The 24,289-nt window shown below is 39.7% G+C and overlaps 1 protein-coding gene across 14 annotated transcripts in view, besides 1 other annotated feature; it reads left to right on the top strand.

Annotated features, from left to right (window-relative positions):
• The window catches only part of SHROOM4 (shroom family member 4), a 238,661-nt gene that overhangs the window by 97,123 nt on the left and 117,249 nt on the right, over positions 1 to 24,289 (top strand). For all 14 annotated transcript variants that reach the window (XR_007068197.1, XR_007068196.1, XR_001755718.3 and 11 more), the window contains exon 2: positions 21,135 to 21,286. Coding sequence is in view for 7 of the 14 variants with exons in the window: in XM_047442279.1 (XP_047298235.1) it covers positions 21,135 to 21,286 (152 nt within the window). In the remaining 7 variants the exon portion in view is untranslated. The remainder of the gene's footprint in view (positions 1 to 21,134; positions 21,287 to 24,289) is intronic.
• Positions 18,903 to 19,434: an enhancer, noted in NCBI's record as "NANOG hESC enhancer chrX:50440638-50441169 (GRCh37/hg19 assembly coordinates)". NCBI's record gives its function as "activates a minimal SCP1, AML or CMV promoter by ChIP-STARR-seq in naive H9 embryonic stem cells {active_cell/tissue: H9 hESC(naive)}" and the evidence as "EXISTENCE:reporter gene assay evidence [ECO:0000049][PMID:30033119]".

Here is a 24,289-nt window from a genome sequence, read left to right as displayed (position 1 = left end):
AGGCCAGACTGGGAGAATGACTGGAGCCCTATCTTTAAGAAATTTAGTCTTCCTGGGAAGCAGGCATCGTACGTCAGGTACGACTTAGGCTGCAAGTAACTGAAACCCAAACTCTAACTGGCTTAAACAATTAGGAAATGTATTATCTCACATAACAAGAATTCTAGGGAAGAGGCAGGCTTTAAGATTGGTTGATTCAGCTGTTCATAATGACTGTCAGCGGGTATCAAGGTAAATCATTACTTTGTTCTCCAGTTGAAGTGAGAGGAACCTAACAAGTAAGTCTGGGAAACCATATAGGTGTCAAAGTTTCTCAGTTCTATCTTTATAAAAAGGAGAGAAACATGGGCACTGGAAAACAATAGGGTAGATTCAAAGTATCCACTGAGTTCATATTAGCTGTGTGGCCTTGGACACTCAGTTAATTGCTCCAAGCCAATTCCCTTATGTGTCAAATGGCAGTTGTTAAAATATTTGACTTGCTTCTAAACAGGCTGCTGGTAGGGGTCATGTGAAATAATGTGAAGACATTTGGTAAGTCACATAAGGTGCCATATACCTTTGAAACCTTTGTAAAAAAATTATTTTTAATTGACATAAAAATTATATATATTTATGGTGTACAACAGGATGTATTGAAATATGTAAACACTGTGGAATGGCTAAATTGAGCGAATTAAAATATACATTACCTCACATACCTGTCATTTTTGTGGTGAGAACACTTAAAATCTCTGTGATTTTCAAGAATATGATACATTGTTCTAACTATAGTCACTATGTTGTACATCTCTTGAACTTATTCCTCCTGTCTAACTGAAATTTTGTATCCTTTGACCAATATCTTCCCCAAACCCCCTTCCCCCTACTTATCTGCCCCCACCCCTGGCAAACACCATTCTACCCTTTGATTCTAATAGTTCTAATAAGCTCTCACATGAGTGAAATCAGGCAGTATTTGTCTTTCTGTGCCTGGCTTATTTCACCTAACGTAATGTCCTCCAGGTTCATCTATGTTGCCACAAATGATGGGATTTCCTTCATTTTTAAGGTTGCATAGTGTTTCATTGTATATATCTACCACATTTTCTTTATCCATTCATCCATTAATGGACATTTAGTATCTTGGCTATTGTGAATAATGCTACCATGAACATGGTTGTGCAGATATCTCTTCAAGATACTGATTTCCTTTTTTTTTTTTTTGGAATATATACCCAGAAGTAGGATGACTGGATGATAGGGTAGTTTTATTTTAATTTTTTGAGGAACCTTGATACCGTTTTTCATAATGGCTGTACTAATTTACATTCCCACCACCGCTGTGCAAGCCTCACCACAGCACCTAACCACCACCTTTCCTCCACAGCCTCACCAACACTTCACTCTTGTTTTTTTGATAGTAGCCATCCTAACAGGCATGAAGTGATATCTCGTTGTGATTTTGATTTGTATTTCCCTGATGATTGGTGATGTTGAGCATATTTTTATATGCCTGCTGGCCATTTGCCATGTCTTCTTTTGAGGAATGTTTTGGCAGATCTTTTGCCCATTTTTTAATCAGGTTATTTGTTTTCTGAGGCCTTTTAAAAATTACTATCATCAGACATAACACCTACTGTGTAAAAGGCACTGTTAGATTGAAAGTTTAAAATAAAACCTAGGTACTAACCTTAAGTTTCCCCAAACAGTGCAACACACATCTACTGAGCACCCATAGGTGCTGGGGACACAGGTATGAGAGAGACCCCCTGCCCAGTAGAGCAGGGGACACAGACTTATGAACAGACAACTTCAGTACAACTTGGTAAGTGAACACAAGAGTAGAGGTGTGTGCAGAGTGCTCTGGGAGTGCACAGGCCTTACTAACCTAACCAGGCTTCACAGGGAAGGGGTAGGCAGAATGTCAGGAGCGTATCAAGCAATAAGAGGGATATGAAAAAATCTGTATAACATAGAAACATATATAAGCAAAGCCCTCAAACAGCCTTCTTATTTTGTATTTTAGGGACACACTAAGGGGTAGAGTCTATAGAAAACAATGAGTAAACAACAGTGTAATGAACTTTTTTCTCCCTCCTCTCCATCTGTTGTGGTTAACTGGCACATGTTCCCTAGAGCTTCTAATCAACAGTCTGAAAACTAAGCCTCTCTATGTAACAGGGTCTCAAAATGTCTCTGAACATGGACCTTCATTGGCAGAACAGTATTCTCTGAAGCTTCATGATCTTCTGTAGCATATCCTCTGGGAATTGCAGAAGATTGAGCCTCTAATAACTGGTTGGGCAGGTGTATCAACTTTTTCAGGAAGGATTATTTGACTACAGAGTTTCACATATCCTATCATTAAAAGTTGCACTCTCCTATACTGTGTTGCTATCTTAACATACTGTAAATTAAAGTTATAATTTAAAAGTGTTGAAGTGCATTTTAAAAACAGTAAATATTATTTAAATATAAAGGAATCTCCCACCCCATTGTCCAGTTTTTTCCTTTTTTTCTTTTATTGATACATAATATTCTACATATTTAAGAGGTACATGTGAATATTTGTTACATGCATATAATGTGTAATGTTCAAGTCAGTGTATTTGGGGTATCCATACCTTAAGTATTTATTATTTCTGTGTTGGTAACATCTCAAGATACTTTCTTCTAGATACTTTGAAATATACAATATATTGTCCATTGTTGGATGAATAGTTTGCAAATATTTTTCACAGAATTGGAAAAAATAATCCTAAAGTTTGTATGAAAGCAAAAAAGAGCCCAAATAGCTAAAACAATGCTTAGCAAAAAGAGCAAAGCTGCACGCATCACCTTCTGACTTCAAAATATATTACAAGGCTATATTACAAAACAGCATGCTGTCGGTATGAAAACAGACACATAGGCCAATGGAAAAGAATAGAGAACCCAGAAATAAAGCCATGTAAATAAATAAATAAAGCCAACAGATTTTTGACAAAGGCACCAACAGCATACAGTGGGGAAAGGACACCCTTTTCAATAAATGGTGCTGGGAAAACTCAATAAGCATATGCAGAAGAATGAAATGATTTTTGTATCTCTCACCATATAAAAAAATCAAATCAAGATGAATTAAAGATTTAAACATAAGACCTGAAACTATAAAATAACTGGAGAAAAACCTAGGGAAAACTCTTCAGGACATTGGTCTGGGCAAAGATTTTATGGCTGAGACCTCAAAAGTACAGGCAACAAAAACAACAATAGACAAATGGGACCATGCTAAATTTAAAAGCTTCTGCACAACAAAGGAAGCAATAAACAGTGAAGAGACAACACGTTGAATGGAAGAAAATAAAGCAATCTTTTCATTTTTTCAAGTGCTAGTTTAATCAGTCCCATCAGTACTGTGGGTGGCACTGTGAGGACAGGGTGAACCTTAGGGTTATTTTTAAATTTATTTTTACTTTTGTTTTTTGAGACAAGTCACCCAGGTGGGAGTACAGTGGTGCAATCATGGCTTACTGCAGCTTCAACCTCCTAGGTAGGTTCAAGCAATCCTCCCACCTCAGCCTCCTGAGTAGCTGGGACCATAGGCACATGACACCATGCCCAGCTAATTAAAAAAAAAATTTTAGAGACAGGGCCTCCCTATGTTGCCCAGGCTGGTCTCAAATTCCTGGGCTCAAGCAATCCCCCCACCTAGGCCTCCCAAAGTGCTGTGATTACAGGCATGAGCTACTGTGCCTGCCCCGAATCTTTGGGCTAGATGTTGAGTCCCAGTGACAAATAATTGCTTGACATCACTCTCTTGTGTAGACATCATTGCTGCCAAAGACTTTTTGCCTCCTAAAATGCCTTAATTATAGCCTGATTAGGTCTGACCACTATAAAGTCTGCTGCACTTTGGGTGCATGATTTCCTGTGCTACATAGAGCTCTGCTGTTAAACAGGCTCGTAAAGAACCCTCCCGGACAGCTTCTCAGGCCCAGGTTTCTTTTCTGCTGTGCTTTATTATCTCCTGGGGTGGATACCCGCCTGCCTGCTCTCGAGTTGCTTCCCCAGACCCAGAGTTTGGCAGTGCTTTCCTGGCAGAACAGTCAACCTTCCTGTTACCTCAAACCAGGTAGGGGACTCAGAGAAGCCAGACGCAACCCCTTGCAGAGGAGCATACACCTACCCTTGAAAAGCAGACTGTTTCACCTCTCTCATACCAATTAGTGAATGATGGGATACGCATCAAGGGGAAGAGTGCTGAGAGAATCCTCTCAGGAAGTGAACTGAAAAGGAAACCAACAAGGGTTGAGCATGTTTTCCAAATGACAGGATTCTGTTTTGTGGGGAGTCATCCCAGAGCTGGAAAAGATGTCAGAACTATGAGAGAAGGTAAGCAAGAGAGTGAGTCAAGTGTTTTCACCATGGGTTCAAATGGATGTAGGCAGAACTACCTTAGACCACACTCCAGCTTTAATCTCTTGCTTAAATTTTGCTTTATACTCCTTTCAGAAAGTTTCTATTTTTAATTAATTTTGGGGTACGTAATAGGTGTTTATGTGTTACATGAGATGTTTTGATACAGGCATGCAATGTGAAATAATCACATCATGGAGAATGGGGTAGCTATCCTTTCAAGCATTTATCCTTTGAGTTACAAATAATCCAGTTACACTCTTTTAGTTATTTTAACATTTACAATGAAATTACTATTTACTATAGTCTCCGTGTTGTAGAAGGATGGTTACCAGAGGCTGTGAAGGGTAATCTTTCTAATTTTTCTTGTTTGCAAAGGGGAGTTTGAAAACCAAAACTCAATTGAATGTCAGGGAGTCAGTTGAAACATATGAACACTATATACCCACCATAATATAAGGTCGTGGCCCAGGCTGCAATTTTCAAGAAACAAAAAGTGCTCAGCAATCAAGCTGAAGCTGACACAAAAGAATTTCCATAGTTGAGATCCCCTACAGATCCCACAGGGGAGAGGAACAAGTAGCACTTAATTGAGAGTTCCCTACTCAATATAGCTCTCATTAGGTGGTCAGCAATTGAAGTGTAATTTCAACAATAACCACCCTGGGAGGTAGGTGTTATTATTCTCACCATTAAACAAATAAGGAAACAGGTTTCAGAGAGGTGAAGTGACTTGCCCAAGGTCACACTGTCACTAAATGGCAGAACCAGGATTTGATCTAGTGCCTTGCACATAGTACGATTTCAGTTCATGCATATTGGAATGCATACATCAATGAAAGGTCTGTGGGACAATAAAAATCCAAATTTTTTACTTGTTTTTGTGTGTTTCTGACGTTTTATAACAGAATGTTTTAAATTTACAGAAAAGCTGAATTTTACATTAAACACTTATATATACCCATCACCTAGATTCTACTAATCTATTCCTGCTATACTTGTTTCATATCTATTCATGTATTGATTTTCTCTATTCACTCATCAATATTATTTTCTGATACATTTCCAAGTAAATTGAGGACATCAGTGCAGGTCCCCCTAAAATTTCAGCACGTGTATTATTTACTAGAGTTCAATGTTTGTTTACAGGTGTTCTTTTCCTTTTGAGGTAAAATTTACAGACAATGAAATACAAAATCTGACGTGGGTGAGTTTTGACATCCCATGCACTTGTGTATCCAAAATCTCTATTAATGTATAGAACACTACCATCACCCCAGAAATTCCCCTCATGTGTGTTGGTTTTAACCATGCTGTGTAACTTCCTTACCTGAACCAGAATCTCTGTTGGTGGTTAGAAGTCATTGATTCTAACTGGGAGGCTGTGTTGAGATCTCTTTTCTTTCCTTGACTGATGCTTTGGGAGAAAACCAGGTGGCATACAATAAGATTTGGTCCTCAGTGCACTTCACTTTGATAAGTTTCACCTGGAAGCATTTCTTTTCCTTTTCAGCAAATGTTTGTGAAAGGTTGCCCATTGATTGCAGCAGTTAACTTTGTCGGTTTAAACTGAGGTGAAACAATGACTATTTGTTGTAATTTATTTTAATTTAATGTTACTAAGGTATAAGGGCTAGCATTAAGTGGTGGTTCTTTACAGCAGGGACTCTTTCATCTGTGTTTGTTTAAAATTAAAAATAAGGCTGGTAAACATAAAATGTTCCTGGCTTGGTCCTAGAGTGAGCTCTAGTCAGTTCCTTGAGACTTAGATCAAGGCTAAGGGCGAAAACAGTCACAGAATACTCAGAGGAGTGTGTGTGCCTGAGTAGGATTTAGATGAAAAACCCAAAGGGACTTTGGCTTATTTGAAAGAATCTTATCAAAGCAGACAGGCTGAGTTACCTTTGAAACCCAGGCTTCAAGGAATTGGGTGTGTAGTAAGATTCAGACTATTCCATGACCCAGGAATTGTGAGATATTTTTTATTTATTTTTTATATGTGTATACATTTTTAAAAATAATTTCAACTTTTTAGATTCAGGAGGTACATGTGCAGGTTTGTTACGTGGGTGTATTTCGTGATGCTGACGTTCAGGGTACAATTGATCCCGTCACCTAGGTACTAAGCATAGTACCCAATAGTTAGTTTTTCAACCCTCGTCCCTCTCCCTCTCCCCTCTGGTAGTCCCCAGTGTTTATTACTGCCATTTTTATGTCCATGAGTACCTATTGTTTAGCTCCCACTTATAAGTGAGAATATGTGGTATTTGGTTTTCTGTTCCTGCATTAATTTGCTTAGGATAATGACTTCCAGCTGCATCCATGTTGCTACAAAGGACATGATCTCATTCTTTTTGTGGCTGCGTAGTATTCCATGGTATATATGTATCACCTTTTCTTTATCTGACCCACCACTGATGGACACTTAGGTGGTTTCCATGTCGTAGCTATTGTGAATAGTGCTGCAATGAACATACAAGTGTGTCTTTTTGGTAGATCAATTTATTTTCTTTTGGATACTCAGTAGTAGGATTTCTGGGTCGAATGGTAGTTTTAAGTTGTTTGAGAAATCTGTGAGAGTTATTATAGGCTAAATTAGCAGAGATACTGATGGGCTAGTGCCTGCCCCTACCAAACATGCCTGTGACTTTGATTCTTTTGGTTAATATTATTGTTGCTGGTTGGCAATGTGAGCATCACCAGGAGGACTTCTAATTCAGAGATTTTTACACTGTAGCATTCGTCAGCATCACCTGGAGGGATTAAAACACAGATTACTGGCCTCACCCACAGAGTCTGTGATTCATTTGACCTAGGGTGAGTCCTGAATTTCTAACAAGCTCCCAGGAGATGCTGATGCTACTGGTCCAGGTACCACACTTTGAGAACCACTGCTCTGAGTACTGAATGAATGAATGTATAAATAGGATCCCTTGTGCCAGACACATTTCTTCCCCTCTATAAATATGGCATTATTTATGATTCAGTGAGGACAGGCATGCCCCTTAGCTCCAGCTGCATTTTAGAGTGAAGAGATTCTAGGAAAGACACATAGACTACTCCTTTTCTCCAACCTGCACAGCAGGAATTTCAGTTTGTACTGGACTTATTATGACCCTATCTTTTCACAGTCCTAACTGATCTTGCTGCATACAGGGAAAGAATCTAGGCCCCCAACCACATGGCATAGTTTTAATTAACTCCCTTCTGTGTTGGGACCCTCAGAAGAGATAATATGTGGCTATGGAGACCATACACCCAGATTTCCTGGGACAGCTCTGATTTCATATATTCTATCCTTTTGTCCTCATAAATATAATTGTCAGACCATGTTCTGCTTTTGGGTTCAGAAAATATTGTTCCCATATGCATGGCCTAGGGGCCCTGTGGAGCCAAAAGCAAGTCTTCGCTTGCTTTCTTGGGATTGTGGGGGCCAGGGCAAAAGCTTGGCTCATTGTGAGGGATAGAAAGTTGGGGAGAATCTAAATGTTTAAGATCACCAGCAAGCTTCTCGTTGCTTCTTTCTTTTCAAGTGTCCCAGTGACCGTGTTACAGATCCCGGAATGTTGCAAATAAGAGATTCTGAGTGCTGAAAGGGACTAAATTGGACCTCTGGCTGCCTCTCTTTCCTCCGTCCCCCACCCCTCTGGAAGGACCACACAGAAATAGCAGAGAAGAGCCACTCTAAAGAAGGAAATTCCACAACCTTCATTGACTGACCACTCAGTCTAACATTTACCTATTTTGCCTGGCAGGAAGTTCTTCCTCCTTGCTTATATCAGTCCTTCTCGTTGCAATGTCAGTTTCTTTTCCTTTGCTCTGCTTTCAATCAAAATTGAGAACAGCTGGTCCTTCCCTCTAAATTTTTTTTATGTGCTTAGAAGTCATATTAAACCATTCTTCCTGGGTCCAGGTTTAACCATCCTTGGAGCTCCTTTATCCTTCCCGCATGTATCTGACTTGCCAACCATTTCATCATTTTGCCATAGGAAAGCAGCTTAGGCAGCCTGGGCGAACAGTACAGCAAAGCCTAAAGCTTTATGGCTTGTGCTAATGGGCGTGCTAAATGTTTAGTAGAGACTATTTTTGAGCACGCAATTGTGAACAATTTAAAGTGGACCGTACATGGAACCCATTTCCTCTCCTGGCTCCCCCAACAGGGCCTCCCCTTAGCAGCTGAAATGAGTTAGTGGCAATCAGCGCAAAGTAGGAATCCTGTGGTTTCTGCCCTTCCCTCCTGCTGCTTCTATGGCAGCTAGTCTCTTAAAATGAGCATTCTCTCTAGAATAGCCAGTAAATGTGACATTGGAATCAGTTGGACAAAGGGTCTAGGAGTCACTTTAGCTAAATAGCAGGAGGTGCTAGTGCTGAAGCACCACTGGAGGTTTTAGGAGAGGTTGAGGGGACAGGGTTGAACAGCGATTGATGAAAGAGTTTGGACCCAGAATATTTGCTATCCACAGAACGGTTGTACCTCAGAGTTGTACATGCCTTTTTTGCAAGTTTGTAGAGGACGTTTCTGGCCTTTGTTCACTTGGCCTTTGTCCACTGTCTCAACTATGCTAAAGTGATGCCAGGAATCTGTGGCAGAATCCCAGCTTCAGGGCCAGTTGGGTTCCTAAAAGAGAGGAGGGTAACTTGCCATGCATGGGATTCTTCTGTCAGGCAGGCTACCTGCCTTTGATGGGATATGTTCTTTGATTACTCAAGTGATTTGGGAGGGCTGCTGCCTTAAGTTGGCCTGCAGGGTGGGTCCAGGGCCCATGTTAGGGTGAATTGGATATATCTGATGGCACTGCAGAGAAAAGGGATATTGTCCTGTTCTCATCTTCTGACTGTTGGCTCCTCTGTTTTAATCAAACCTTAAAAGCTCTTCTCTTTATAAGCACCAGCCAGGCAGTTTGTCTCAGCAGAGCTACAGGAGCACTTAATATATGCAGCCATAAAGAAGAAGGAAGAAAAAGAGACGGAGAAAAAAAAAACCTTTGGCATTTGTATGAGAGTGTCACTGAAGGCTTCATCACAGATACACTCAAGACTTAGAAACTGAAATTGTCTTGGGGTGGGGGTGGGGAGAGCAGTTTGATTGAAGCGTTAGCTGCCTTGGCCCTGAGCCAAGGCAAATTGCCAGAGAACCATTAAACTCTGTGTAATTCCATATAACTCACAGCAGCCACAGGTAATCTGAATCAGACCTGACAAAACTTCACTATCACTTATTGTCCATTAGCACTGAATGCATGCTACAGATATTAAACTTTTTAAAGCCATATCATGGTGGCCATATTTTCTAAATCCCAATCAGAAAACCTGGCTTGACAAAGGATTTATTTTCTGACTTGTGAATTTGTTTATATGAAAAGCCTCACAAAAGGTATAATCACTAACTCACAGAGGTATAAAATACTAAACCCACTGAACAAATGGTTTTTAAGGAAAGAACTATAGTTGCATGAAATTGGGTCAGGGCAAACTCATTTGGACATTGATGAGGGTTCCCCCCACCCCACACATACTTTTTGGGGGTCTGAGGGCACTGGTTAACGAAGCACTAAATCAAATTAGAATCTGGTTTATGCCCATCATCTGGATTTGCTCTTAAATTTTTCAGGGATGGTGAACTGAAAGAGCCTGTTGTAATGTCTGTACACACGAAGGTGGAGTCGATGTTACTTTGAATTCCCAGATGGTGGGAGTAGTTAAATATCCCACTGTTCATGGTCTGTTTGTGAGGGCTTGTGTGTGTTTTAAATTAACTTCCTAAGGCAGAGAATGTTAAAAACTGAGGAGAATCATATCTGGATACAAGTTATTATTGCCATACACCTCAGTTTCCTTAAAGGCTCCATTCCTTCCACTAAATTGAGAGTCTAACATTCACCCTGGGGCACCTCGTGACAAATGGGATATTTAGCTCAAAGGATAATTATTCTGGATTATTCTGAGCCAATAATAATGCTTTTTACAAAGTTTAAAGTGTCTCTTTAGCAAGAACTCTTAGTATTGCTAGTTAAGGATCATGAATAGCAATATACCCGTGAAATCCAAAAGGTTTTGTCACAACCTTGCAGAAGAAAGTATCTTAAACCTAATAGATGCTCTATCCCGGGCAAGTCATATAATATCCCTGAACCTCAGTTATATGAAAAACAAAGTGAAAATATTGTTACTTCTCCAGAATCAGTCAAATGAATAGGGTGATATCCTGAGATCCCTTTTAATTCTAATTTCAACAAATATTTGTTGAGCAACTACAATGTGTTCAATACAGACATTTATTTTCCTAGGTGCCAGTGACAGAGCTGTATAAAGGCATTGACTATCTCCCACACTATAATGTATCTTGACAGCAAGTAAACATACATAGAAATAAGTGAGATCATGTAAGATGGTGGTAAATTCTATGAAGACAATAAGACAGGTAATGTGATAGAGAGTGATGAGATGTGGGTAGAGAAGAGAAGGAACATTCTTTATGTGGTTGGTCAGGAAAGGCCTCTCTGAGGAGGCAAGATCTGAGCTGACACCTGAATGATAAAAGGAGGTATGTAGGATCTAGAAGAAGAATGTTCTCAACAGATAGAATAGTAAGTACAAAGATCTTGAGATAGGGATGGGCTTGACCTCTCTGAAGAACAGAAAGTTTGGTATGACGTGTGTGTGTGTGTGTGTGTGTGTGTGTGTGTGTGTGTGTGTGTGTGTAGAGGATGAGAGGTTGTGGGAAATAAGGTCAAAAAGGCATGCATGGCCAGATCATGTAGAGCTTCTGATCTGCTGCTGTTTACATTGTAAAAATCATTCTTTGGTCTGTCTGATTTAATTAATGAATGTTAGTACCAGATGTTAATGACAGGAGGGCTTGAAGTTTGCCCATAGGAAACCCAAGGAGAGGGTCTGGGTGTGGAGTAGGGGGGCAGAAGGGGAAGATGAAGTAGAAAAGGCGAGCTCAAATGCCTTGTTGGCAGGGCAGGGAGAGGTGGGAGTGGAAAAGATAATGTGTAGGGAGGGTTGGAAAAAGTTTGAGGGAGGAGGAAAAGCACCAGAGTGACCTCGGCTGTGAGGAACACCGTCAGTGCCAAGGTTGTGGAGTCTGCTATCAGAGGGGGTCAACCTTTATAGGAGAAGGGACAGGACTGTACTCTTGTTTAAAGTTAGAAGAGTGAGAATGAGCAGGAACTGAAGCTAAAAATCTGGTCCTCTCTTTTTATCCAGCCTTAACTTAAAAAGCAGGTCTGATGTCAGAGAGAATGGCGTTCACATTGCTTGCCTTATTTATTTTCCAGGTCTTGAACTCAAATGCCTATCACTTCCTCCTGCATTTTCTTCTCAACTTAATCCTGTCATTGCAAAAGGAAATAATCTCTGATGCAAGAGTCCCTTCCCGCCACTAACACATAAGCAATTGAGTGCATTTTTTTTCTTTTTTTTCAGTTGTGGAAACTCAGTTTTGTTTTATGTTATTTGGCACGTTTTGTTGAGTAGGAAAGAGATGGTGTGTCATTTCTCAGTCATGATGTGAACAGGACAGTAGCTTGGAACAGACTGTGTGATGGCTCACTTATTCCCAGATTTGTAGCACTATGTGAAAGCAGCAGCAAGTGTGCTGATTTAATATAAAATGGGATCTGTCCTAGGCTCAGTAAAGGATGTTATTATTATTGCTTTTGCAACATACATGTATGCCTTGGTAGGTTATTTATTTGGGAGCTGTTTGCTTTGGTAGCAGTTATTCATAAGGGTAAGAGGAAGTTAAATCTCTTTTCTCCTCCTCCACCTCCCACTGGTCAGAGGTCTAAGTGGAGACCAGAGATTAAAATTACTGCCAAGGAAAGGGGGCCTGGGCAGGGTCAAATAATGTTCTGGGAGTGGCATGCAGGTGCCCACCTCCGGGAAATAGAAAACAAACCCCCTCTCCCTTCGTCCACATCTGCTGGAGGGTATACAGGCTCCTAGTAAGCTGGACAAGTGGTTTTCAGGCAGCAAAGCAGGCCTAGTAGTTTCCAGAGGCAGCCTTTTGTCCCTACCCCGAAGGGTGTTTAGTCCCTGGGTCCTTTTCCAGTCAGAAATGACTAATGTTGGCTATGTGTACTCTTTAGAAACTGTCTTTGGCTTTTTGCATAATGGATTATAAATAAATGGCTTTAGAGAACCAGCAGTGAGTTATTGAGTGAACCTGGCTTTGGGATGGTTCAGATTCCAGATAGTTAATCACATCCTCTTGGGCTGGAAGACTGTATCCAACTCACTCACATTCAGTAGGCAAGTTAAAAAGGCATTTTTGATCAACTTGAAAAATAGTTTTCACATCAACAATGGCTTGTTACTGAAGAAATAAAGATTATATTAATCCAAGTAGAATTATTCCCATCACTCTCTAACAGTCTGGTGGAATTTAACACACCTCTTGTTTTAATTTGGCCATTTCTTACAAGTATTAATGCACAGTTTGAAAATGACAATGAATTGATATGTCCTCTTTATAGTGTTTTTATATTAGGCGGTAGGTAAAAGACTGTTGGTCTTTTCAGCCTCCTAAGGCTCACCTGCTAGATTTGTACACAGTGCTCTCTTAATGCTGGAGGACATTATGGACTTTCTGGTTTGTCCTAGACTATTTTAATGCTATACAAGGGTAAACTCTGTTGCTGACAACTGCTTCTGGAAATCAGGAGCAAATTCACTTGCACTCTACCATATTCATTCCTCCGGTTTGTTCCACTCTGGTTCTCCCTGAACTCTCTCCACCACATCAGCTTTGCAAGGTTCTCTGATCATTTGTATCACTGAAAGTCATATCTTATTAGACAGTCAAGAAACATAGGCAATCTAACAAAGAGACTGCATTAGTCCATTCTCACACTGCTATAAAGATACTACCTGAGACTGGGTAATGTATAAACAAAAAAGGTTTAATTGACTCACAGTTCCACATGGCTGGCTGGGGAGGCCTCAGGAAACTTACAATCATGGCAGAAGGTGAAGTGGAAGCAAGGCACGTCTTACATGGCATCAGGTGAGAGAGAGCGTGAAGAAGTGCCACACTTAAAACCATCAGCTCTCATGAGAATTCCCTCACTATCACAAGAACAGCATTGGGGAAACTGCCCCCATAATCCAATCACCTCCCACCAGGTCACTCCCTCCACATGTGGGGATTACAATTCAACATGAGATTTGGGTGGGAACACAGAGCCTAACCATATCAGGGACAGTAATGGTGCCTGAGGAAAGGCTAGTTGCCTGTGTGACAACAGCCTGATGAAGTTCAGCTTCTAGGAGTAGGTGTCACGAACTCTGGGGACCGTAAGAAAGAAACATATCTGAGATTGACATGAACTCTGGGGACCATAAGAAAGAAACATATCTGATATTGACAAGAGGAGTAGCAGTAGATGGCTCCAACATTGGATGAGGAATTGATTCTATTTTTATAATATGTCAAGACAAAAATTGGCTGGAGATTAAAAATGGAATCAAATCATTAAGACTTTTCACCTTTACCTGTCAACTGGTAAAATAAAGTGTTGTTCTTTATTTTCATTTTTTACTGAAATCCTCTACCTTCTAAGAGGTAGGGAGGATGAATACTATCTCAAAGCAGACAGGAACAGTGGGTAGATTAATAGATTATAGCCCTATTGTGAAGGCTAACGTTTTAAGAGAAATGTTTTGCCTTGATTAAAACTATGAGTATGTGAAAATGATGCTGGAGTCTTGGTGCCTACCTCAGAAATATAAGCTGAATAGTCTAGAATTAAAGACTAAAGAATAAAGAATAAACCATCAGGTCTCGTGAGAATTCCCTCACTATCACAAGAACAGCATTGGGGAAACTGCCCCCATAATCTACCCTCTTTTTCCTTGTTGGTATCTCTTAGAATCTGATCTAATTATTCTTTTAATTCTTTCTTAAATTAAGGAATAATTTACATATAGTAAAATGCACAAATCTTAATGAATGTTTAGTTATGTATATTCCCATATGATCTGCAGCCAGATAACTATGTAGAACATTTCTAGCACCCCCCAAAAATTATGCTCATCTGCCTTTACAATCAGTAGTACAGAGTTAACCATTTTTTCAAATTATCACCTCTCTTCTTTACCTTCATATAAAATGAAATCATACAGTATGTGTTGTTTTTGTCTGGTCTCTTTCATGCAACATAATCTTTTAGACATTCATTTTATTACATATATTGCTTTTTTTTGACTGCTGTATAGCATGTCATTTTTTGTATGTGTATGTTTTGAAGGACATTTGGGTTGTTCCTACTTTCTATTATTAATAAAGCTGCTGTGAACAATCAAATCTTTTTATGGACACGTGCACTTATTTCTCTTCGGAGTCTCTAAGTATGGAATTGCTGGATCTGAGAGTAGGCATACAGATTTCCAAAATGGTTGTACAGCTTTATACTCCTGCCAGCAACGTAGAGAGATCAAATTGCTGTACATTCTCACCAATACTTAAGTCTTTTTAATTCTGGCCATTCTGGTGGATATGTAGTGACACTTTACTATAATTTTAAATCACATTTCCCTAATGAAGAATTATATTGAGCACCTTTTCAGATGCTTATTGGGTATTTGGCTATCTCTTTTAGTGAAGTGCTTGTTCAAGCCTTGCCAATTGTTAATTGGCTATTTGCCTTTTTCTTATTGATTTGTAGTTCTTTTAATATTCTGGATATAAGTCATTTGTCAGGTAATATGTATTATGAATATTTTCCCAGTCTGTGGCTTGTCTTTTCCCTTTTTTAGAGCTGAAGATTTTTTTTATTTTGATGAACTCCAATGTATCACTCTTTCCTTTATGATTACTACCTTTTGCATCCTGCTTAAAAAATTTTTGCCCACCTCAAGGTCACAAAGATATGCTCCATGTTTTTCTCTAAAAGCCTTATGATTTTAGTCCTCTCATTGGGTCTGTAATCCAGCTAACATTTTTAGTAAAAATGTACATCAGTAAAAATGTTTTGAGTATGTGTCCCCAGTATACACAATTTTATTTATGGATGATCTAATTTATTATCACCAATATTAAATATTAATAAAGCTTGATTTTTAAATTTTTGTAGATATATAAACAGAAGTTCCAGTGGATCACCTTGTACACAGCCTGGGATATATGTACCCCATTCTGAACACTATTGTTCTATACCACCAAAGACTAACATTTGCCACAAACACTGATAGCATTAATGTCAGAAGAACACTTCAGTGTAAACAAATGGCTAGAGGTGACAGAGCCCCAGTGAGCATATCTGCTAGCAATGTAAGAAACCCTCAGTTTACTCTTGTGCCGTCACGTTTGTCTCCCCTTACCAGACTTATAGAGACAGCAGGACGATCTGACTTGGCAGGAGCAAAGACAAATTTGCCTTTGGTTGCTGACATAGGGGACAGTGCTCTTGAGTCTTCTTCCCCTGTCCTCACCACCAAATTCCTAGAGCTGGTGGCACTGGGCTGAGTTTTGGCAAAGATGCTTAGAATTTGACTGGAGCTAATCCCCAGGGAAATTTAATGATTTGGAGCTTAGACGGCCTTTGTTGTGAGGATTAGTAAACTAGATGGTGATTAAGCAGCTGGGGAGGAAGAAGCTGTCTGTTGGGCTAGGTCATGCTGTGGGGCACAGCGCATAGTTCCGTTGGCTCAAGGTCAGGGGAGCCCTTGGGCCTGATTCACAGAGCTTTATACTCTGGGGCAGCTCCTTGTAGGATTTGGGCATCTGCTTATTAGCTGGTAGAGGGAAAGAATGGCTTCTCCCTTGGTGTACACCTCTTCCCTCTATCCACATATAGGGATTACTCCTTTGAATCAGGTCTACTTACATCTTTTTAATTGGTTATTGTTTTTCAATTCTCATTGAAAAGTTTTTGTTGTCTGTTTTGCCTTTTGGAAAACTGGTGTAAAGTACGGAAGATGAAATTAGGAACAGAGTTTCTTGGTTTTCTAATCTAGACTGCTTCGGAAATTTGAGAGCGGTTTTTAAGGGAAGAAGTTGCTGAAAGAGACAAGTTAGGTATTGAAAGCCATGGCAAGAAGACTGCCGAGGTTTGAAAGCCTGTATCTCCCATGTCCAGGGAACCCTGATTAATTTCTCCTAGCATGATCAGATTCTAAGAGATACCAACAAGGAAAAAGAGGGTAGATTAGAAACAGCCCCCAACCTGTGGTTTGCTTAAGATTTCAAACTAAGTTTCAGAATGAGCAAGCACTTTATTCATTCTTTGATGCTCCTACTTCTTAATAGTTAAACTTCCCAAAGCCAGCTTAACCCTAGCTCTACATTTTTCTATTCGTTTCCCAGAAAAGGCCAAATTGATGAACGGATGCCTGGAGTGTTAGTAAAAACTTGAAAATCTTTCTAAGATGCTAAAAAGATATTCGGAAGGTATATTCTTTCTTTAAATAACTGGACTACAGTATTCTGAGTGGATCTTTTCTGTCTATTTGCAAAAACAATAAAACAAAAACAAAAAAACAAACACATCAATTTAAACAATTATGTTGTTTGCCTTCTTTAGATGATAGACAAGCTGGTGGAGGTAGCAGTATGGGCTGGTAATTTGGCCAGAAGCTCTTGGAACTGACCAAGAAAGTTTCAGTTGATGCCCATTTTTTCCAATAAATTTCCTGTAGCAGGCAGAGGTATTCACAATCATGTCACTGATTTTTAATGCTGCTCTTACACTATTGTAATAGGTGTTCAGTACCTGTCAGTTATTGCTGCAGATGGTGTTTCTCCTCTGAATGCATTTTTAAATTATAAACCTGATTTAATAATTCTTCTATTCCCTTTTTCATCTCCTAAATGTATTCAAAGACCCAAGCAAGTATCTGTTAGTATCTGACTAAATAAAAGCTACTAGAAAGCCAGCAAGTGCTGTTAAGTCAATTGTTGTTTGCCTTTACTCTCAAGGGGCCAACTTGTCACTTTGTTGACAGCTATCAGAGTACTTCATGCTTCATTGAAGACCCATCAAAAATTTCCAAATTGCTAGCTCATTAGCACAAAATAGGGCTTCAGGAATCTCTTTCTCTCAGTGTCCTGACTGGGCCTTATTAAGTGTTCCAACCTTGGTGGACCACTCTGAAACAGTGGATAAAGACCAGGGGAATTGAGAGATGGATGTTAATTAGTCAATTTTGAAGGAGTAAAACATGGGTGAAGGCAGAGTACAATGGGACAAAAAGCTGAGATTATCTGTGTCAGCAGAAGGATAATGCATGACTTTGCTAACTGTTCACAGGTCACTGAATGTCAGAGCTGAAAAGGCCCAGAGCTGTCAGAGCCCCAGGAGATCATCTGGTCAGTCCCTCTTACACATTTTACCAGTAAGAGAAGAGAGGCTGCAAGAAGGGAAAGGGACTTGTCCAAAGTCAATCAGCTCTTCCTAGCTTTCCAGGCACCACCTGGCTTTTGGTTATATGACCTCTATGTAATCAATTTTCAATTACTTGGGCCACTCACTGCTAGCCCAGCAATCACTTGGGTAATCCAAAATGACACATAAGTTAACCATCGTTTACATTGAGCTTTGTGATGTGTGTTTATACCGACATTCCAATGCATCTGGGTCTAATCTGAGAATTCACAACACTTCAACTGAAACAAGAAAGCCACCCTGAAGGTCTGATTCAGGAAGAGCTGGAAAGCTTACTGAATGGATAGCATCATATATTGTTATACAGCCCCTCAAACAAGGTATGTTAATTTCAACAAGTTTGTTGATTCACACCTTTCCAGGGCCCCAGCCAGAGTTAGGAGGAGGAAGGTGGGAAGGGGAAAACAAAACCTTTTACGGAAGAATATGCATATCATCTTTCGCCCCTCCATCCCCCTTCACCCTTCCTCTCATTCATTTTTCCTTCCTTCCTTCCTTTCCTTTTTTTATTGATAGAAACATGAACATCTGCTTTGTCTTCCATATAAACAAATATGTGGCTGAGACATTGACCTATAGAACTGGCTGTAAGGAGGCCAGACAATAAATAGAAGACGTGCTAGACCTCAGAAATCTAGAGGTAGAGTGGGGAGGAGAAAGACCAGTGAGCAGTAATTTAAAAAGGACCAACAAGTCTGGAAGAGTATAGAGTCCATTGCACAGCTCAGTAAATACCCTGGGTCTGGAAAAGGGCTAGTCTGGGATATAGTTGAAGGGATCTTCAACCAAATGGAGTCTTACTTCCTGATCTGGACCCTTCTGAACTCTTGGATTATGCTGGGGACCCAAAATTTGCTGGCTTTTTGTCTGAGCATCTTCAGACTTGCACTAAAGTAGGATTATTTCACTTAACATATCTCTTAAGGAGGAGGATGCTGGTGACTGAGAAGGGGCATGGAACAGAAAAAAGGGGTATGAACAGTTGGCCTGATGCTGTAGTCCAAGAAGGAGTCTGTGCAAGGACTCAGATAGTGGCAGCTGAAGGAGCAGTAAGGAATGCCAAATGCCTGAGCTTTTGCTACAGCAATAATTAAGCATTTTAGTTTAAAAGGTTTTCCCCTTTTATCTTTTGGTCTAGAATAAACAGAGATCTTGCTGCTGTAACAGAGTGTTTAATTAACGAAAGATGGTACTTAATACATATTGAGGGGAAGACTTGCTATGGGTAACAGTAATATGGATAATTAAGTTGTATGAATTAAAAACAATGGGTAGAGTGAATTAAGACTAATGTACATCAACAGGGAAAATCTATTAGCATTCATTAGTTAGACTTCTGTTTGTGGTTCTTTGTTAGCCTCGGGAAACTCTTTCAAATGGCTGATCCCTGTTGAAAGTTCTGACTGGTGCTAAGGGCCTTCTATGGATGCCAAAGTAATGAGTCATTCAAATAGAACTTCTGAAATTCAAGTACAGCACTTTCCTTTTCTCTCTCTCTTTTTTTCTTGGCGGTAGGCAGCAGTGACTGTGAAGTAATAATGATAATGACAATGGAAATAAGAGTGTAATCCTGTTTAATTTGCTTAGAGTTGTTCCCCATTTACCAATATTGGCTTGTTTGGTGTTGAGTGTGGCCCGGGTACCGGAACAAAGGCATATATATTCAATGTCACTTGGCTAACCTATGATTTGTCAGACAAAGGTTAATTTTTTTAAAAAAAAGTTGGATTAGCAGCAATAAATGTAATAACATTCTGTGATTTAACTCAGAAGTTCAATTAATTCGATGGAGTTTAAAAAATCCTGAACTTAATTTTTTCTCTGCACTCAGGAGGTCTCATCTGCCAAATTTGCACATGAGCTGGCCAACCTAAAGCTCAACAATATTATAACTTCCATGGTGTGGGGATAGATGGAGGAGACATTATAAAAGACTGAGAGAGAGATTGGAACAAGAGTAGAAGTGTAAAAATACCTCCAGTGAATACCAGCCCTTAATTGCCCCATTTAGAATCTGCCATCCCCTAAGGACTATACAATTTAATTATCCTTACGTTCCCTTTCCCTGGAAACAAACAAAAACAACTCCTGATTATATCAGTGAGTTGGAGCCTTTTTTACCTGACCGTCTTAGTTGATAAACAAGCTGTAGACAACTAATTTCTGCCCCTGAGGCTAGAAATTAGGAGCCTTGTTCATTTTTATATCTCTAGCATGTAGCATGTTGTCCTGTACATAATAGAAATGTGATTCAATACTTAAGGAATGATTAATGGATGGATGAGATGACTCCTTTCATGGATTATCATGGATGGAATTGATGTTCTAATAGGTGGAAATCACCTTCATGGTAAAAGGAATGTAATAAAAATGAATGTATAAAATTAGCCATAAGCAAGGACCCCCAGAGACATTCTGCTTTGCTTTGCTTTGCTTTTGCCTGCCCCAGTGGCTATTATTTCTGCCTTTGCTTTCAATACCCCTCAGTCTGACAATCTTCTTCCCCAGATTGCCCTGGTTAGTGGAAATTCTATAGGCTGTGTTGGAACAGTAAATACCCATATTTCCAGCTTTCTCTGAATGCTCACTGTGTGTCAGACACTAGAAGCACTGTGCTGGGCACATGTTGAAGAGACATAGATAAAGAAGCAGCTACATTGTACCTACTTGTATCTTTTGAATTTGCCATTCTACTCACAGAATGTTGAACTGTAAGCCACTTTCCAGGTCTTCAGAGTCAACTCCCTTGTTATAATAATCAGAGCTCATGTTAATTGAGGACTTACTGTTCTCAGATATATACTATACTAACAACTCTGTGAGGTAGCTAGTCTTGTTATCTACATGTCACGTAGGAGGGAATTGAGACACAGATGTTAAGTAACTTCCTAAGGGTCACACAGCTAGGAAGTAGCAGAGCCAGGATTCAAACTTACGTTTGTCAGACTTCAAAGCCTGCCCAAAGATAGGAAAGAGCTTACCAAAGGTCATTTTGATGGAGCCTAGCTCTTCTGGCTCTAATTTGTCTGCACGTTTTGGTAGGCCACGCTGCTGCTTTAGCCACATAGTAGGGTTCATTCCAAGCATCAGTTTCGTATTTAGAAGTTCTAGTCTTCCCAGTTGGACTGCTCATTCCTCCAGTCAGGGATTGCATTATTTCCATGTTGCCTCCTTCCTCAAAGGTTTGCCCAAGCTTTGCCTTCAGTAAATAATGACCTGTGATCAGCTCCTGAGCTACTCCCAGGAGCTGCCTGGAGCCATTCCCCAGTACTACTTGTGGCTCCAGGGTTGGAAGAAACAAGTAGAATTTTGGGGAGAAAGTCATCTCACTACCTGCTTTCTGTTTTGTTCTCTGCAACACAGATTGAAGATGGAGGCAAGGCAGCTTTGTCCCAGAAGATGAGGACTGGTGATGAGCTGGTGAATATCAATGGCACTCCATTATATGGCTCCCGCCAAGAGGCCCTCATTCTCATCAAAGGCTCCTTCCGGATTCTCAAGCTGATTGTCAGGAGGTAAGGTACAGGGAGATTCTCCGTAAGGTGCAGAGGCCACTGAAACTTGGTTGGTAATAAAGCTCAATAGAGTCATGTCTCTATCAATATTATAAAGGAAAGAGGTGTTTCACTTGAATAGAATTTTGCAGACAACTGAAGCAGAATAGCACAGGAGAAAGAGCCTTTGGTTCAAATCCTGGCACTGCCACATAGACACATAATCTTGGATATATTTATTAGTCCTCTGCAAGACTGTTTCCTTATTTGCTATAAAGAGGACTAAATTACTCATTATATACCAAAGGGCTACCTAATCCAGTGTTTTTCAATCTCCTTCTTTATAATACACTATCATTCCTGAACCACATATCAATGGAGACTTAAAGAGCCCCTACTACAGCCATGGAGGCTGTAGCAAACTCTTAGAAACCCTTTCCTTGAGGATTGCACAGTCTAGCAGGGGACAAAATATACACATGTGACTAAGTAGCAGTATATTTTTAAAGAAGGCAATAAAGCCTTGTGTGTGATTATCAAATGGATTGTTCAGACAAAAATTGCTGTTAGAGAAAGAGATCACTGCAGAAGGTATTGATAGGGTAAGACTTCATAGAGGAAGTGGAATTTAAGCTAAAGGGTGAGTATAATTTGAAAAATAAACCATCAGAAGAGGAAGACATTGCAGGTAAGTGCAGTGGCATAAGCAGAAGGAAGGGAAGGACATATTTGGGCACAGTCATTCTGCTACCACCAAAAGCATCTGCCTATTGGTGAACTTTCCACATGGCTTTTCTTTCATTTTGCTGCTGCGCCTTTGCTTTGTATTATTGGAGCTCAGCCTTCTCCCTTTCTATTGTTTTTTTTTTTCTTTATCGTATATACACACCTAAGTTTTTCCATCTTGCATCTTCCCACAATCTCACTTCTCCCTCTGGCTCCTGCCCCGTCTTTCTCCTTTTGTTCATACTCAGTCTCAAAGGAAGAGTCTATAGTCACTATCTCCACTTCTCCACCTGCCATTTAGCTTTCCACCCTCTGCAGCCAGAATTTGACCCTCAGAACTCCACTGAAACTACTCTGTCAAAAGCTACAAATTATTGCCTAATTGTCAAAGTCAATGGGTTATTTTTCATATTCATCATATATGGCATTTAACATTATAGCTCTAGATTTTGCCCCCACCTTCCTTTATGAAACTCAATACCAAAAATCTCACACAGCAACTCAATAGCAAAAAAAAAAAAAAAAAAAAAAAAAAAATCCAACTTAAAAATGGGCAAAGACCTGAATAGACATTTCTTAAAAGAAGACACACAAATGGCCAACAGGCATATGAAAAAATGCTCAACATCACTAATCTTCAGGGAAATTAAAAACCACAATGAGATATTATCTCACTCCAGTTAAAATGGTTTTTATTAAAAAAAAAAAAACAGATGCTGGTAAGGATGTGGGAAAATGGGGAATCCTGGTACACTGTTGGTAGGAGTGTGAAATAGTACAGCCACCATAGAAAACAGTATGGAGGTTTAGCAAAAAACTGAAAATAGAATTATCATATGACCTAGCAGTCCCCTGCTGGGTACATATTCAGAAGAAAGGAAATCATATAAAAGAGATATCTGCACCCCCATGTTTATTGCAGCACTATTCACAATAAACAAGATATGGAATCAACCTAATCCATCAGTAGATGAATGGATAAGGAAAATGGGGAATATATATACAATGGAATACGATTCAGCCATAAAAAGAATGAAATCCTGTCATTTACAGCAACGCAGATGTAACTGGAGGTCATTAAGTAAAATAAGGCAGGCCCAGAAAGACAAATATTACATGTTCTCACTCATATGTAAAGGCTGAAAAGAGGGATCTCATGGAGATAGAGAGTAGACTGGTGGTTGCTAGAGGCTGGGAAGTGGGGAGGTTGAAGAGAGGTTGATGATGGGTATAAAAATACAGTTAGATAGAATGAATAAGATCTAGTGTTCAATAGTTTGGTAGGGTAACTATAGTTAACAATCTATTGTATATTTCAAAATAGCTAGTAGAGAAGAATTCATATGTTCTCAACATAAAGAAAAGATAAATGTTTGAAGTGATGGATATCCCAATTTTCCTAATTTCATTATTACACATTATATGTATGTATCAGAATGATACATGTACCCCCAAAATATGTATAACTGTTACGTGTTAATAAAAAAAAAAAAAGCTCTTACTTTTTTTTTTTTTGAAATGGAGTTTTGCTCTGTCGCCCAGGCTGGAGTGCAGTGGCATGATCTCGGCTAACTGCAACCTCCGCCTCCCAGGTTCAAACAATTCCCCTGCCTCAGCCTGCTGAGTAACTGGATTACAGGCATGTACCACCATGCCTGGCTAATTTTTGTATTTTTAGTAGAGACGGAGTTTCACCATGTTGGCCAGGCTGGTTGCGAACTTCGGACCTCAAGTGATCCCCCTGCCGCAGCCTCCCAAAGTGCTGGGATTACAGGCATAAGGCACTGCGCCCGGCCAAACCTCTTACTTTCAAGATAGTCAGTTTCCTTGTTATTTTCCTACATCCCTGTCCATTTTTTAAAAACCAGGCTCTTTACTACCTGCTCTTCCTCTGACCATTCCTTAAATGTTGGTGTTTCCCATAGTTCCACCATTTTTAACTTAATGTACCCTGGAAAATCTCACCCAGCCCTATAGCTTCAATTTATTTTCTATATCTCCTATGCTCCAGACCATATAACCAACTTCCTATTAGACATTTATACTTAAATGTGTCAGAGATATTGCAAACACAACATGCCCCAAACCTAACACATCATCATCTTCTCCCAAGATCGCTATCTATGACCAGGACCACTATGTATGTACTCAGCCAACCAAGTCAGAAACACAGAAGCCATCTTTAATTATTCCATTATCCTCATGTTCTATATCCAAATGATTTATCCTGAAGAGAGAATATTTAAGGAGAAAGGCTTTGGACCTAGGAAGAATGAGGTTATGTAGGATCCCACTGAC

This window comes from Homo sapiens, chromosome X (genome assembly GCF_000001405.40).
Source record: "Homo sapiens chromosome X, GRCh38.p14 Primary Assembly".
Lineage (NCBI taxonomy): Eukaryota > Metazoa > Chordata > Mammalia > Primates > Hominidae > Homo > Homo sapiens.
The sequence above is the reverse complement of the archived record's forward strand: the minus strand, read 5'-3'. Positions and strand labels throughout refer to the sequence as shown.